The 14325-nt window shown below is 53.6% G+C and overlaps 2 protein-coding genes, 1 long non-coding RNA gene and 1 other non-coding gene across 20 annotated transcripts in view, besides 11 other annotated features; 2 read left to right on the top strand and 2 right to left on the bottom strand.

The window, feature by feature from the left end:
* DNASE1L1 (deoxyribonuclease 1 like 1) overlaps positions 1 to 4050 on the top strand; it is a 10866-nt gene extending 6816 nt beyond the window's left edge. For 11 of the 12 annotated variants that reach the window (NM_001009934.3, NM_001009933.3, NM_001009932.3 and 8 more), the window contains 6 exons: positions 203 to 291; positions 372 to 458; positions 1664 to 1764; positions 1905 to 2017; positions 2096 to 2344; positions 2445 to 4050. In NM_001009934.3, coding sequence (NP_001009934.1) covers positions 203 to 291; positions 372 to 458; positions 1664 to 1764; positions 1905 to 2017; positions 2096 to 2344; positions 2445 to 2579 — 774 coding nt within the window. In that variant the 3' untranslated portion in view covers positions 2580 to 4050. The remainder of the gene's footprint in view (positions 1 to 202; positions 292 to 371; positions 459 to 1663; positions 1765 to 1904; positions 2018 to 2095; positions 2345 to 2444) is intronic. The other variant, XR_007068182.1, reaches the window with a different exon arrangement.
* Positions 2617 to 2816: an enhancer, noted in NCBI's record as "active region_30061". NCBI's record gives its function as "activates an Ori minimal core promoter by ATAC-STARR-seq in GM12878 lymphoblastoid cells {active_cell/tissue: GM12878}" and the evidence as "EXISTENCE:reporter gene assay evidence [ECO:0000049][PMID:35858748]".
* On the bottom strand, positions 2947 to 7221 carry RPL10 (ribosomal protein L10). Of its 6 annotated transcripts, none has more exons than NM_001303625.1 (7): positions 6888 to 7221; positions 6744 to 6789; positions 5890 to 5948; positions 5692 to 5799; positions 5345 to 5483; positions 4660 to 4822; positions 2947 to 4584 (listed from the first exon to the last, which is right to left on the bottom strand). In NM_001303625.1, the coding sequence occupies exons 2-7, from the start codon at positions 6764 to 6766 to the stop codon at positions 4432 to 4434; spliced, it is 645 nt and encodes a 214-aa protein (NP_001290554.1). In that variant the 5' UTR covers positions 6767 to 6789; positions 6888 to 7221; the 3' UTR covers positions 2947 to 4431. The 6 variants fall into 6 exon arrangements, with proteins under 6 accessions (NP_001290554.1, NP_001243506.2, NP_001243509.2 ...); NM_006013.5 differs by having other exon boundaries at positions 2954 to 4584; positions 6892 to 6909; NM_001256577.2 differs by lacking the exon at positions 4660 to 4822 and having other exon boundaries at positions 6892 to 7221.
* Positions 4275 to 4818: an enhancer, noted in NCBI's record as "H3K27ac-H3K4me1 hESC enhancer chrX:153628809-153629352 (GRCh37/hg19 assembly coordinates)". NCBI's record gives its function as "activates a minimal SCP1, AML or CMV promoter by ChIP-STARR-seq in naive H9 embryonic stem cells {active_cell/tissue: H9 hESC(naive)}" and the evidence as "EXISTENCE:reporter gene assay evidence [ECO:0000049][PMID:30033119]".
* Positions 4819 to 5364: an enhancer, noted in NCBI's record as "H3K27ac-H3K4me1 hESC enhancer chrX:153628263-153628808 (GRCh37/hg19 assembly coordinates)". NCBI's record gives its function as "activates a minimal SCP1, AML or CMV promoter by ChIP-STARR-seq in naive H9 embryonic stem cells {active_cell/tissue: H9 hESC(naive)}" and the evidence as "EXISTENCE:reporter gene assay evidence [ECO:0000049][PMID:30033119]".
* Positions 4871 to 5005, bottom strand: SNORA70 (small nucleolar RNA, H/ACA box 70). Its single transcript, NR_000011.1, has one exon. It is a non-coding gene; the product is annotated as a small nucleolar RNA, H/ACA box 70 (small nucleolar RNA).
* Positions 5365 to 5908: an enhancer, noted in NCBI's record as "H3K27ac hESC enhancer chrX:153627719-153628262 (GRCh37/hg19 assembly coordinates)". NCBI's record gives its function as "activates a minimal SCP1, AML or CMV promoter by ChIP-STARR-seq in naive H9 embryonic stem cells {active_cell/tissue: H9 hESC(naive)}" and the evidence as "EXISTENCE:reporter gene assay evidence [ECO:0000049][PMID:30033119]".
* Positions 5909 to 6454: an enhancer, noted in NCBI's record as "H3K27ac hESC enhancer chrX:153627173-153627718 (GRCh37/hg19 assembly coordinates)". NCBI's record gives its function as "activates a minimal SCP1, AML or CMV promoter by ChIP-STARR-seq in naive H9 embryonic stem cells {active_cell/tissue: H9 hESC(naive)}" and the evidence as "EXISTENCE:reporter gene assay evidence [ECO:0000049][PMID:30033119]".
* LOC124905228 (uncharacterized) lies at positions 6444 to 14325 on the top strand. Its single transcript, XR_007068356.1, has 2 exons — positions 6444 to 7701; positions 13166 to 14325. It is a non-coding gene; the product is annotated as an uncharacterized LOC124905228 (long non-coding RNA).
* Positions 6777 to 6986: an enhancer, noted in NCBI's record as "active region_30060". NCBI's record gives its function as "activates an Ori minimal core promoter by ATAC-STARR-seq in GM12878 lymphoblastoid cells {active_cell/tissue: GM12878}" and the evidence as "EXISTENCE:reporter gene assay evidence [ECO:0000049][PMID:35858748]".
* Positions 6999 to 7544: an enhancer, noted in NCBI's record as "H3K27ac hESC enhancer chrX:153626083-153626628 (GRCh37/hg19 assembly coordinates)". NCBI's record gives its function as "activates a minimal SCP1, AML or CMV promoter by ChIP-STARR-seq in naive H9 embryonic stem cells {active_cell/tissue: H9 hESC(naive)}" and the evidence as "EXISTENCE:reporter gene assay evidence [ECO:0000049][PMID:30033119]".
* Positions 7547 to 7616: a silencer, noted in NCBI's record as "silent region_21100". NCBI's record gives its function as "represses an Ori minimal core promoter by ATAC-STARR-seq in GM12878 lymphoblastoid cells {active_cell/tissue: GM12878}" and the evidence as "EXISTENCE:reporter gene assay evidence [ECO:0000049][PMID:35858748]".
* Positions 7687 to 7866: a silencer, noted in NCBI's record as "silent region_21099". NCBI's record gives its function as "represses an Ori minimal core promoter by ATAC-STARR-seq in GM12878 lymphoblastoid cells {active_cell/tissue: GM12878}" and the evidence as "EXISTENCE:reporter gene assay evidence [ECO:0000049][PMID:35858748]".
* Positions 9040 to 14325: part of a biological region, named in NCBI's record as "Xq28 distal FLNA-EMD recombination region", that runs on past the window's edge. NCBI's record gives its function as "recombination_partner: LOC107988032".
* Positions 9040 to 14325: part of a non allelic homologous recombination region, noted in NCBI's record as "distal repeat sub-region recombines with the proximal repeat sub-region within the Xq28 proximal FLNA-EMD recombination region, resulting in an inversion", that runs on past the window's edge. NCBI's record gives the evidence for it as "EXISTENCE:Southern hybridization evidence [ECO:0000078][PMID:9140403, PMID:9384614]".

Here is a 14325-nt window from a genome sequence, read left to right as displayed (position 1 = left end):
CTCAGTCTCCTCCTCTGTGAAACAGGTGACATGTGGGTGGGATGAGTCTTTTCCTGGGGCATTTCCAGTCCCACTGCTTTCTGTGGGCTGCAGTCAGTGAGCCTTAACACTCTGGGCCACAACAGTGCCAGTCCCCTGGGCCCACTGCCTCCTCTCAGGGCAGTTGGCACTGAGTCAGGCTGGCCTTCCTGATGTCCCACAGATACTGGCTCGCTGTGACATCATGGTGCTGCAGGAGGTGGTGGACTCTTCCGGCAGCGCCATCCCGCTCCTGCTTCGAGAACTCAATCGGTGAGGAAGATTCTGTGGGTCTAATCAGGGGCACACCCAGAGGCTTGAGGCCCTGACCCCGCCTCCCCTTTTCTTGGCAGATTTGATGGCTCTGGGCCCTACAGCACCCTGAGCAGCCCCCAGCTGGGGCGCAGCACCTACATGGAGACGTATGTGTACTTCTATCGGTGAGCACGGAGCTGGCAGCGCAGCAGGGTGGGGGGCGGTCCTTGGCCCTAATGTGAGGTAGGCTCATTAGTCCCCGGGGCCACAGGCCCCCCATCCTGGGACAGCCTCACCTGCTTTGCATGCTTTCTCTTCTCAACACCTTTTATTCTGGGCTCTTCCCATCCTCGACCCCCGCCAGAGTGTCCATAGAGCAGGAGGCCTTCCTTCTATAAGCACAAATGTGGGGTCCCTCCTCCTCTCTCCTGTGGGAGCTGCTGGGGCTCAGGGTGTGGCTGGCCCCCTCTATGAAAGTGGCCAGCAAGGGCTGCAGCTCCTGGGAAGAGGCTCCGTGGGGACCACTTATGGGCCTTGGGTAGACCCGATCTTCTAAGTCCCTGGGAGGACAGGCTGGCAGGGAGCCCTTTGGAGTCAGGATCCAGAGGGCAAGGGAGGCTGCAGGGAAGGAGAACTGATTCTCTATATAAATAAAATGATATGACATCTGGTATGCGCTCCAAAATTACTGGGTAGGCAGGGTACAGTGGCTCATGCCTGTAATCCCAACGCTTTGGGAGGCTGAAGCAGCAGGATCACTTGAACCCAAGAGTTCAAGGCTGCAGTGAGCTATGATTGTGCCAGTGCACTGCAGCCTGAGCAACAGAGTGAGACCATGTCTCAAAAAAAAAAAAAAAAAAAAAAAGAATGACATCAAAGTGTCCAAATGTCAAAATGTACTATACCCAGTCCGTGGAATATTATTCAGCCAGAAAGAGGAATGAAGCACAGACGTGCCACAGCATATGGACGAACGCAGAAAACATTGATGAGCTGATTTCATTCATATGAAATATCCAGAATAGGCAAATGTACAAGATAGAGAACAGATTAATGGTTGCAGGGGCTGGGGGGAGGGGAGAATGGAGAGTAACTGGTAATGGATGTTATGTTTTTATTAGGAGTAATGGATACCAATGTTTTAAAATTGATTGTAGAAATAGTTGCACAGCCTTATGAATGTACAAAAGAACCGTGTTGTATACTTGAAGCAGGTGAATTTTATGGCATATGAATTATGCCTGATTTTTGAAAGTTCTAGAGACAGGTTGGGAGGGCTGTGCCCACATTGCCGCTGTTAGTGGAGGGCCCCTCCCTGAGCGCCGTTTGGCACTTGCAAGCCAAAATCAAAGACGTGGGGCCACTGCTGCCCATCCCTTTGTCCTCCCAGGTCACACAAAACACAGGTCCTGAGTTCCTACGTGTACAACGATGAGGATGACGTCTTTGCCCGGGAGCCATTTGTGGCCCAGTTCTCTTTGCCCAGCAATGGTAGGAAGGGAAGGGTGGGCTTGGTATGTGGGAGCAGAAGGGGAGTTCTGGCTGGCTCCACTGGGGGCTTCCTCACCCAGACGGGCTAGGGGGAGAAGGTCCAGGAGTGGATGGCAGCCCTCGGTCCCTGGGCCTTGCAGTCCTTCCCAGCCTGGTGTTGGTCCCGCTGCACACCACTCCTAAGGCCGTAGAGAAGGAGCTGAACGCCCTCTACGATGTGTTTCTGGAGGTCTCCCAGCACTGGCAGAGCAAGGTAGGCCTGGGCAGTTTGTACAGGAGGGACAAGGATAGGGTGGCCCAGCGGCCAGCCTGATGGCTGCTGTGTCTCTAGGACGTGATCCTGCTTGGGGACTTCAATGCTGACTGCGCTTCACTGACCAAAAAGCGCCTGGACAAGCTGGAGCTGCGGACTGAGCCAGGCTTCCACTGGGTGATTGCCGATGGGGAGGACACCACAGTGCGGGCCAGCACCCACTGCACCTATGACCGCGTCGTGCTGCACGGGGAGCGCTGCCGGAGTCTGCTGCACACTGCGGCTGCCTTTGACTTCCCCACGAGCTTCCAGCTCACCGAGGAGGAGGTGAAGGGATGGGGCTGGCATGAGGAGGGAGGGCAGCAGCAGGGTCACAGGGAAGCCCCTCGGCCCCGGGCACTGACACTGCCCCACCACCCATTCCCAGGCCCTCAACATCAGTGACCACTACCCCGTGGAGGTGGAGCTGAAGCTGAGCCAGGCGCACAGCGTCCAGCCTCTCAGCCTCACTGTTCTGTTGCTGCTATCACTCCTGTCCCCTCAGCTGTGCCCTGCTGCCTGAGCGTCCCCCTACCCCCCCAGGGCCTGCTGCCTTTTGGGACTTAAACCCCAGCCTCCCCCGTCCATCCAGCCCTGGGGCTGGGGGGCTTCAACTATAGTTGCCCTGTGACTGTAGTCCACCCCTGCCTGCCTTGTTTGATTTGGCTCTTGTTCTTTGGTTGGGCTTGTGCCTAGATTAGGAGAGGAAGCCAGGGGCCCTGCACTCATGCCACCTGCCAGGTAGTGTAGTATCAGGAGTGGAGACAAAGTGGGCTCTGGGTTGGGGTAGGGGAAGGGAGGGTTCAGAAAGAGGAATGAAGATGTTGTATGACAAGAAGGAAAGTTACTGAGAACAAAAACCCAGATTGGTGAGATAGGACACTTGTGCAGCAGATATGCCAATGGGCCATGTTTATTGTGGATTGGTAAGAATCACCAGGAAACCATTAAGCCCCAATAGCTACAAGGAGGGTGGTTAATCTGCTATATCAAACTCCTTCCCTGAAACCAGCAAACACCGGGAAACATTTTGGCTCATTATAATCCGGTGAACAATGCAGTCAGGCCTGTTATAACCGCTGAGCAGCCACACTCGCACCTCCTGGGTGCTGTAGTCTGTGTTGGTACAGGCTTCTGCATGCCTGGTAAAGTCCAGCCAAGGCTGGTCAAGGCAACATCTCCACACAGAAAATCTGCACCAGTTATGTAAGCTAAAAAGCTGTGTGAACCCAGGTGTCCCGGAAAGGGGCTGCAGGACACAGCAAAATGCCAGCAGCATGCCGGACCCCTCCCTTCCATCCTCCTCTCCAAAGAAGAGAGGTCAGGAAAAACACTGGCTGGGACGCTAGAAGGGTCATGTGTTAACTATAATCACATTTATGGTTTGGAACCATCACCCCAAGGTAAAAAAAAAATAAAAGGTATTCCCAGGTATGTTTGGCAAAATAAAATAAAGGTAATTAAAAACCTAAGAAATGGCTGTAAACTGAGATTACAAAAAACCAGAGGCCTTTTGGGAGCCACAGGCTGGGGGCTGGGGCCAACATACCCCAGCTCTGGGACCAAAAGCCTTTGGAGTCCTGTCCCTGGATACAGATGCTCAGGCCACCCACCTAGCACTCCTCTCATTTTTGCTGCTCCCCCAAAAGCCAGCGCTGTTCTACAATAGTTCAGGTCAGACATCTAAGATCCCCAGGCCAAACCATGCCACACACGTGTCTGTTCCGAGGTCTTGTTACAAATGACCAAAGGTTAGCCTAGACCTTTGGTCAGGTGGTGAAGGCCCTGGGAATGCAGGTTCTAGAAGGGGTGGGGGCATGGGGCCCAGGAGGTTGCTAGAGATAGGAAATGGGGCAAATCGCAGGTGACCTCAGCAGTACCTGGATGATTCCCACCAAGGAGGAATGGCCAAACCAGATGGGTGAGAACAAGCCCAATGTGATGCACACCTACCCTTGCTAAATAAACGCTGCTGGTCAGCCTCTAGCCCACAAGCCCCTCTTGGTCCGCATGTGTTGTAATAAGCAACACAACTGTAGGCTGACCCCAGCCTGGGATTGCAAGGCTTTGCTGCAGCTGTGCTTCATGAAAAGCACTTCAGTGTTTTTCAACCTACTGCCTAGGACCTGGGGAGGTCCAAGTCAAGCTCCAGAGTAGACAACTGACATAAGGCCACCAGTCCCAGCCCTTTGCAGGGTTTGCTGCCTCATGAGCAGGGCTGAGTTGTCAACCTGTTTCTGAAGTGAAAGGGCAATGACCCAAAGGTTCCCAGAGGAAGTTCCTTCCCCGTCAAGAATGTAGATACAAAGACATAGGTGGACAGGAAGTAGAATTTATTGGTGAGTATTAAGAGGGGGGCAGCACATTGGAAGCCCTCATGAGTGCAGGGCCCGCCACTTGTCCAGAGGGCCACGACTGGGGATGTACTTGACCCCACAGCCATCTGGGATGAGCCGCTTTTCAGCCACCATGTCTTCAAATTCATCAGCATTGAACTTGGTGAAGCCCCACTTCTTTGAGATGTGGATCTAAGGAGCAATGGAAAGAACTGAGTCAGGAGGCCTGGGGCAAAGGTGGGAGAAGGGGGCTGCAGCACTACATACCTTCTGGCGGCCAGGAAACTTGAACTTGGCCCTGCGCAGGGCCTCAATCACATGCTCCTTGTTCTGCAGCTTGGTGCGGATGGACATGATAACTTGGCCAATGTGAACCCTGGCCACAGTGCCCTGGGGCTTTCCAAAGGCACCTCGCATGCCTGTTTGGAGCCTACATTGGGGTAGTGCAAGGTCAGAAACATGAACATCCACCTGAAAGGCCTGTCTCCAAGGTCCCTTAGAGCAACCCATACAACCAACAGGCTGCGTACACTACCAAGGAAGCTGCTGTGTGCAGCCATCGCACACTGGGTCCCCATGAGGAAAGGAACTCAGTCGGCTTAATTGGCTGCGGAGCATCCCAAGAACCACTGAAAAGGCGCCACTGGGCTCCTCTGCCAGCTTCAGCTACCTGCTGGCAAGATGGTTGTCATTCAGCTAAAAGCAAGAAGAGCTACTCCCATCACCAGTGTTTCCCCTAACCTGTGGGGAAGAGCTTGCTAAGACTTACTCATGCTTTGTTTGTATCTGCAGGAAGGGGTCCTGAGTGACCACTGAAAGTCACTTGCCAGCCTGGCTTTTCTAGTAGCCATAGTGGCTGAGTCACTGGGGCCACCTCTATGCTCTGATAAAATAATGCAAGCCTAATAATGTAGAGACTCCAACTGCCTTAAAAGGCCCAGACCAAGCTCACCTGTCAGCCCCAGCACAGGACAACATCTTGTTGATGCGGATGACGTGGAAGGGGTGGAGCCGCACCCGGATATGGAAGCCATCTTTGCCACAACTTTTTACCATGTACTTATTGGCACAAATTCGGGCAGCCTCCAGGGCTAGGTAGGGAGAAGAAAAGCAGCAAAGTGAGAGAAGATAATAGAGAAACATTCACCACGACTATCTCCAGCTCAGGGGAACTGTGTTGGCTGAGTTTTGTAAGGCTCATGTTTCATCAACTCCCAATTCCAGTGCAGTGTATGTGGGTGGGGTTGAGGGAGCACGGAGGAAGGACTGGGGGGTGACGAACAAAGAATCCTGCCTTACCTTCAGAGGACAGCTGCTCATATTCATCTGACACCATGTGGCCACAAAGCGGAAACTCATCCACTTTTGCCTTTTTCCGCCCCAGGTCAAAAATGCGAATCTTGGCATCTAAAAGGATTGGGTAAGTGTGCAGGGGGTGTCACAGACGGACGCGGAGTCCGCAGAGCCAACCAGTGCAGGGGCTCTTCCACTACTTACCAGGGACACCTCGGCAGAAGCGAGACTTTGGGTACGGCTTGTTCTTACAATACCGGTAACTGCAGGGGAGTGAAAAAACACAGGTTAGGTGAGGTTCACAGAAAGCCCAACAGGCACTTTGCCCCTCAAGGAACAACCCAAACGAGGGACGGGAAAAGGGTGGGGAATGCACGTCCACTTCTAAACCGTTTCCATTCGGGGAAATAAACTACAAAGCAACAGTTGGCTGCTGCAACACAGACAACACCCAAGACTAGAAACAACAGACACCATCTTCCGTTACTTTGTCTTACGCTTCCTATAAACACTTTGCAACAAACTTTCCTAGTTAAAAATTCTCTCTTCAAGACACTGCGTACTACAAAATCGCCGCATTATCATTGCACAGCTCAGGTCACCCAATTTAAGACTTTCGGGCACGTGGCACTAAATCCACCTCCAAGCCGAGTGGAAATGCGTCTGGCGCCCCCTGTAGGACACAGGAGGCGGCCGCACCCGTTTTTCCCGGACTGCCCTTCACGTCCGACAACGCACGCGGCACGTCGCCCGGAAATAAGACAGAGAACGCACACAAAGGCCCCAAGAGCGTATCTAGCGCCCGAAAATGCGGTGAGCTTGCAGGACACAGGCAGAGATACGAGGGAACCGTCGCTTCCACACCGACACGGGAACGAAGGAACAGACAGTAATATTGCAGACTAAAAAATAGCCGGGAGGTGTAAAACATAGGGTCAGTTCCCAAGACAGGGCCGCCGCACGGGGGAGGCTCCACCCCACAATTGTTTTCAGCGGCCATAGGCACTTCTTTCCCCGCCCGTTTCCCAGCAGTGAAAGTACACGGATTCAAGACTCACCAACGGGCGGGGCGGCGGCCCATGGCGACACCAGGATCTTCAGTGGCTGCAACGAAAAAGAGAGAGTCGGAACGGAAGACGAGAACAGACCTAAAAGGTGTGAGAACCAGCAACGGCACCGCAAGAGACGACAACTGCGCTTACTCACCACACCGAAGGGAAAGAGGCGCTCCTCCGCCTGCGCATGGCTTATATAGGCGGTCTGTCTGCGCGCGTAAGAACCATAGAGTCCTGTCGAAGACGGGTGGACGCTCTGTCAGACGTCATGACCATAGACGCAGCCGCTCTTGGCGCTTGCGCCCGGGCGTAGCCCAGCACATGCGCAGATCAGAGAGGTGACCGGGTACCAGGGCCGCGGGCGGCCAGCTGACGAATGGGGCTTCGCCACATGGTCGCGAGAAGCCCGCTTCCGGCTGGCCATCTTGGGCGTAGAACTCTTGCCCTAGGCTTTGCCGTTAACTGTGACAGACGTATATTTCTGAGAGTGGAAAAAAGGAAAGTACCCTAGGTGGGCCTCCCGGCGACCGCGAGAGTGTCCCTGAGCTTGCACGGGTCTCGGACACGCGCTCCGTGCCTCCTTCTAGGCTAGAGGCCCCGGCGGTGAAGCGCCATACGGGGATCTGGGCCCGCGTTCCTTTGTCAACCCGGGAGGCCGGAGGGGGAGACCCATTCCCCTACCGGAGAGGCTGGACCAGGCCTTGCTGGGAGCCATGCCCCGTATCCCCGTTTCCTGGAGACCCAGGGTTCGCACATTGCCGCGGGGAAGAGGTCGAGGAGAAATCTCCACGGAGACTCATGGCCTGGGAAACCCCGGGGCATCTCTAGCCCCGCTCCGCCCACCCTGACCCGCACCGTCCCGACCAGCTGCGTCTCGGGCGCCGCCTCCCATGAGCCGCTCTCGCCTGGGCACCGCCCCACCTCGCCCTTCCCACTCCACTGTGCTCAAGAGTCCCTCCGGGTGCGTCTGGGGGTCGTGGGGAAGCAGGGCCGCCCCCACCCGCCCACGGGGCAGCATCCGGGGAGAGGTGCGCAGAGCAGGCGGGCGTCCTGGGGGAAGTGGCATCTGGAGGTATCTGTCCACCATTCTGCAGGTGGGGCGCGGTGGGGTAACAAAGTCTTCCCGTCCTTTGACAGGAAGGACGGGAGGAAATCCTGCTCGAGCGCACCTGTTTTCCAGGATGATATGTCGCTTTTATAAATGGCTGCAGGTCCCTTTGAGAAAAGCTTGGGACGATTTCTGGGGTGCACTTGCAGCAGTGGTGCAAGGTCCTTCCCAGGGGAACCTAGCCTCCCTTTCCATCATGGGACTCTGGATGCCGGCGGTGACTTAGGTCTGGAAACTGGGTTCGAGGCTGTAACACCACTGGGGCAGTACAAGTCAGGAATTGCGGCGGAGTGCCGTGGCTCACGCCTGTGATCTCAGCACTTTGAGGGGCGGAGGTGGGCGGATCACTTGAGCCCAGGAATTTGAGACCTGGACAACATGGCGAAAAACCGCCTCTACAAAAATTAAAAACTAAAAATTGGCTGGGCGCAGTGGCTCACGCCTGTAATTCCAGCACTTTGGGAGGCCGAGGCGGGCGGATCATGAGGTCAGCAGATCGAGACCAGCCTGGCCAACATGGTGAAACCCCGTCTCTACTAAAAATACAAAAATTAGCTGGGCATGCTGGCTGGTGCCTGTAATCCCAGCTGCTTCGGAGGCTGAGGCAGGAGAATCGCTTGAACCCGGGAGGCGGAGGTTGCAGTGAGCCGAGACCACGCCATTGCACTCCAGCCTGGGTGACAGAGCGAGACTCCGTCTCAGAAAAAAAAAAAAAAAAAAAAAAATATATATATATATATATATTTAAAAATTAGCCAGGCGTGGCGGCACACTCTAATCCCAGCTGAGGTGGGAGGATCGCTTGAGCTCAGGACGCAGAGATTGCAGTGAGCTGAGATCACACCACTGTACTCCAGCCTGGGCGACAGAGCAAGACTGTCTCAAAAAAATTCGTGTATGGCCGGGCGCTGTGGCTCACGCCTGTAATCCGAGCGCTTTGGGAGGCCGAGGCGGGCGGATTACCTGAGGTCAGGAGTTCAAGGCCAACCTGGCCAACATGGTGAAACCCTGTCTACTAAAAATACAAAAATGAGCCGGGTGTGGTGGCACACACCTGTAATACTAGCTACTTGGGAGGCTGAGGCAGGAGAATTGCTTGAGCCCGGAAGACAGAGGTTGCAGTGAGCCGAGATCATGCCACTGCACTCCAGCCTAGTCTACAGAGAGAAACTATCTCAGAAAAAAAAAAAAAAATCTGCCTACAGGGCGGGTGCAGTGGCTCACGCCTATAATCCCAGCACTTTGGGAGGCTGAGGTGGGTGGATCAATTGAGGTCAGGAGTTGGAGACCAGCCTGGCCAACAGGGTGAAACCACGTCTCTACTAAAAATATAAAAAAATTAGCTGGGCATGGTGGCGCATGCCTGTAATCTCAGCTACTCGGGAGGCTGAGGCAGGAGAATCTGGCTTGAACCTGGGAGGTGGAGGTTTGAGTGAGCCAAGATCACACCACTGCACTCCAGCCTGGGACCACAGAGCAAGACTCATCTGTCTCAGAAAAAAAAGAAAAAAGAAATTGCACCTACAGTCTCCTCACTCTCTAGTGGGCGTTAAAATGAGCTTTCTGTAGCCAGTTTGGGCAGACGGAGGATACAGCCTAATCCTGGGTGCCCTAGTAGGTCGTGCAGGCTGTTCTCTGCACAAGGACATCTTCCTGGGGAGCGAGAGGGCTGAAATCCCTCCCGTGTCCTCGCCTCCAGCCGAGTACCTGCCCCGAGAGCAGAGTGCCTCTTGCTGATCCGCACATAAGCCTGCAGGGGTGGGTGGGGGCCCTGGAGCCCAGACAGGCACCAAGGAATCTTGCAGCCCTACAAGGTGAGGACGGGGGAACTGTCGGAGTTCCACCTGTTGGCTCCTCTCCCTCCTGACCTTCCCACGGGAATCCTTCCAACTGTTGGCTCAAAGAAATTGAAGTGGGTTTCTCCATTGCTACCCTCGCCATCTAGGACTCCACTGTCTTTTTTTTTTTTTTTTTTTTTTTTCTGAGATGGAGTTTCGCTCTTGTTGCCCAGGCTGGAGTGCCATGGCACGATCTCAGCTCAGTGCAACCTCTGCCTCCCGGGTTCAAGCAATTCTCCTGCCTCAGCCTCCCGAGTAGCTGGGATCACAGGCATGTGCCACCATGCCTGGCTTATTTTGTATTTTTAGTAGAGACAGGGTTTCTCCGTGTGGTCAGGCTGGTCTCAAACTCCTGACCTCAGGTGATCTGCCCGCCTCAGCCTCCCAATGTGCTGGAATTACAGGTGTGAGCCACCACGCCCGGCTTTTTTTTTTTTTTAATTGAGACAGGGTCTTGCTCCGTTGCCCAGACTGGAATGCAGTGGCATGATCAACACTCACTGCAGCCTCGAACTCCTGGGCTCCAGAGATGCTCCTGCCTCAGCCTCCCAATCGGCTGGGACTACAGGCACACGCCACCATGCCTGGATAATTTTTTTTTTCTTTTGTAGAGATGGGGCCTTATTAGGTTGCCCAGACTGGTCTTGAACTGCTGGAGCCAAGTGATCCTCCTGCCCTAACCCTAACCCAAAGTGCGGGGATTACAGGCAGGAGCCAACGTGCTTGGCCAGACTCCATGGTCTCTTACCTGGACCAGGACGATGGCCCCACCCAGGCCCTCAGAACTGTGGGATGAGGTGTTTGCTTCTGGCTCACCCACGAGAAAGAAACTCCCGGAAGGAAGGGACCGTGTCTGGAGCGCTCCAACTCCAGGCCCCAGACTGCAGGTATCCCTTGCCAACAGAGCTGAGGCCAGCAGGGGAAACCATTCCTGCCACCTGGACTAAGAATGAGATCCTCTTGAAAAAAACAATATTAAGAAGTGGGCTCTTCCCATCACGCCACCAGAGTCCCAGGAAGCCAGGGATGTGGGTGTCTAATGGTCCGGGACAAGATGATGGGAAACTTCACATGGAGAAGAAAATGCCCAAGAATGACTGAAACTGTCTGCAAGGTCCTGCTAAGGGAGCTGGCAGGTGCACCAGGTATGGCGAGATGCAAAGCAAGGAGCCCACTGCATCGTTCCCTGGAAGGACAAGTGCAGAGGAGACCACAGATGCCTGCGCATTTAGCGGGAGTATGGCAGTGCCATCATGGGGGAAAGGCTGTGTGACAAATGGTATGGAGGAGACTGACTGTCCCTTAGAAAATGGGAAAGGAGCCAGGCGCGGTGGCTCACGCCTGTCATCCCAGCACTGTGGGAGGCCGAGGCGGGGGGATCACTTGAGGTCCGGAGTTCAAGACCAGCCTGGCCAACACGGTGAAACCCCGTCTCTACTAAAAATGCAAAAACTAGCCAGGCATGCTGGCGTGCGCCTTTAGTCCCAGCTACTCGGTAGGCTGAGATGGGAGAATTGCTTAAACCCAGGAGGTGAATGTTGCAGTGAGCCGAGATCGCGCCACTACACTCCAGCCTGGGTGACAGAGTGAGACTCTTTCAAAAAAAAAAAAAAAAAAAGAACAGAACAAACATAAGAAAATGAAACATCAGTGTTCTTGAACCCAGCAATCCTACCCCTTGATAACCTCAGCAAGAGCAATTCTCCCTTCTCGCTAAGGCCACATTCCGTGCCATGGCCTTCGTGGCATGGTTTGTGGCACACCAGGAGCTGAAGCCCTGGGGTTGCATCACTCAGGGTGGGAATGATCAAATGTGTTGCATCCAAGCTCTGAAATCCTCTGCAGGAGCACAGGAGTCAACTGTACGTCTCCAGGGCCACAGACAAAGAGCTGAGAAACCCTGTTGAATGACGGAAGCAGTCAGCAGAATAGGAATGCAGCACAGGGACAGTTACGGTGGGCAAAACCATACACACAAAAAATCCACAGGTGCAGGGCAGTGGCTCACGCCTGTCATCCAAGCACTTTGGGAGGCCGAGACGGGCAGATCGCTTGAAGCCAGAAATAGGAGACCAACCTGGGCAACAGGGTGAGACCTCGTCTCTACAAAAAAATAAAATTAGCTGGCGTGGTGGCACATGCCTGTAGTCCTAGTTACTCCAGAAGCTGAGGTGGGAGGATCACTTGAGTCTGGGACATCAAGGCTGCCGTGAGCTATGATCACACCACTGCACTCCAGCCTGGGTGACAAAGCGAGGCCCTGTCTCAGAAAACTAAAATACAATTGAACAAACACATTCCAAATGACACCACATTTTAAATGACCCCTTTGGGAGGGAGGGGAACAGGACTAGGAAACAGGGAAGAAGGAAAAAGCGAAAAGCTACAGTTCTCCCATCTAATTTTCAGCTACCTAAAAAGCTGTTAGCCCAAAAGGTGCTGGTGAGGCTGTGGGTAAACGCTGAGGGTACAATGCGAGGGACGGACAGTATCAAAGGTAGGGTCTTTAGGGGAGGCAATTCCCTAGTGTCTCTTACAATTTTAAATGCAGGCCACACAAGGTGGGACACATCTGTAAAACCAGCACTTTGAGAGGCCAAGGAGGGAGGACTTGAGCCCAGGGGTTCAAGACCAGCCTGGGCAACACAGTGAGACCCTGTCTGTACAAAAAGAAGTTTTCTAAAAAAGCCAGGGATGGTGGCACACACTTGTGGTCCCAGCAGCTCAGGAGGCTGAAACAGGAAGATCACTTGAGCCCAGGAGGTTGAGGCGGTGGTGAGCTGTGATCGAGCCACTCCACTCCAGCCTGAGCGACAGACTGAGATCCTGTCTCAAAAAAAAAAAAAAATTTTTTTTTTAATGTACATATATCTCGACCCAGCAATTCCACTTACAGGTAATTATTCTAGAGAGAGATGGATGCACGTTCAAGGCTGTGTTCATAGTAAATGCAAGGTAGAAATAATAATGCTTTAAAAGTACATCAAATGGAGGCCCGGTGCAGTGGCACATGCCTGTAATCCCAGGTACTCGGGAGGCTGAGGCAGGAGAATCACTTGAGCCCAGGAGGTGGAGGTTGTGGTGAGCTGAGATCACGCCATTGCACTCCAGCCTGGGCAACATGAGTGAAACTCTCTGTCTCAAAAAAAGAAAAAAAAAAGTTTAAAGTACATCAGGCCGGGCGCGGTGGCTCATGCCTGTAATCCCAGCACTTTGGGAGGCCGAGGCTGGTGCATCACTGAGGTCAGGAATTTGAGACCAGCCTGACCAACCCAGGTGAGAGGTGAGAGGATCCCTTCAGCCTGGGAGGCAAAGGTTGCAATGAGCCGAGATGGTGCCATTGCACTCAGCCTGGGCGACAAGAGTGAGACTCTATCTCAAAAACAAAAAAGTTGAAATTATAAAAAAGCTAAAACAAACAAAACAAAATCACTACAAAACGTGTAGCATAACGGTTTTTTTTTGTTTTTGTTTTTCAGACGGAGTCTCACTGTGTCACCCAGGCTGGAGTGCAGTGGTGCGATCTCGGCTTGCTGCAACCTTCACCTCCCGGGTTCAAGCGATTCTTCTGCCTCAGCCTCCCGAGTAGCTGGGACTACAGGCACACGCCACCACGCCCAGCTAATTTTTGTATTTTTAGTAGAAACGAGGTTTCACCATATTAGCCAGGCTGGTCTCGAACTCCTGACCTCGTGATCCACGCGCCTCAGCCTCCCAAAGTGCTGGGATTACAGGCGTGAGCCACCGCGCCCGGCCGCATAATGGGTCTTAACTTGGCTAATTATGTGGGTGATTGCACAGAAAAATAGTATAAATAACTTCATGCTTTTTTATACATGGGATAACTTGCTTCAAGTTGTTTCAAAAACGTTTTTTTTTTTTTTTTTTTGAGACAGAATCTTGCTCTGTCACCCAGGCTGGAGTGCCGTGGTGCGATCTCGGCTCAGTGCAACCTCTGCCTCCTGGGTTCAAGCGATTCTCCTGCCTCAGCCTCCTGAGTAGTTGGGATTATAGGCGAGGGCGCCACCACGCCCGGCTAATTTTATATTTTTATTAGAGACAGAGTTTCACTATGTTGGTCAGGCTGGTCTCAAACTCCTGACCTCAAACGATCCACCCGCCTCGGCCTCCCGAAGTGCTGGGATCACAGGCGTGAGCCACCGCGCCCGGCCTCAAACACCTCTCAATGATTCGCTTGAGTATGTGTAAAGTGATGCACAGGCCACCCTGAAGACCTTGGTGGTTTCTATTGAAACTACACATCAAGCCGGGCGCGGCGGCCGGTGCGCGGTGCCCAGAATCCCAGCACTTTGTGAGGCTGGGGTGGATCACCTGAGCCCAGGAATCCCAGACCAACCTGGGCGAAAAAGCGAGACCCCATCTCTACAAAAAGTAAAAAATTAGCCGGACATGGTGGTGGCGTGCGCCTGTAGTCCCAGCTACACGGAAGGCTGAGGCTGGAGGTTGAAGCCCTCGCTGGGGTGGAGAGGTCAAGGCTGTAGTGAGCCCTCATCGCGCCACTGCACTCCAGACTGGGCGCAGAGTGAGACCCTGACTCAAAAAGAAAGAAAAGGAAAGAAAGAAGGAAAGAAAGGAAGAAAGAAAGAGAATTACAAATAAAGCTACACATCCACTTCTA

This window comes from Homo sapiens, chromosome X (genome assembly GCF_000001405.40).
Source record: "Homo sapiens chromosome X, GRCh38.p14 Primary Assembly".
Taxonomy (NCBI): Eukaryota; Metazoa; Chordata; class Mammalia; order Primates; family Hominidae; genus Homo; species Homo sapiens.
The sequence above is the reverse complement of the archived record's forward strand: the minus strand, read 5'-3'. Positions and strand labels throughout refer to the sequence as shown.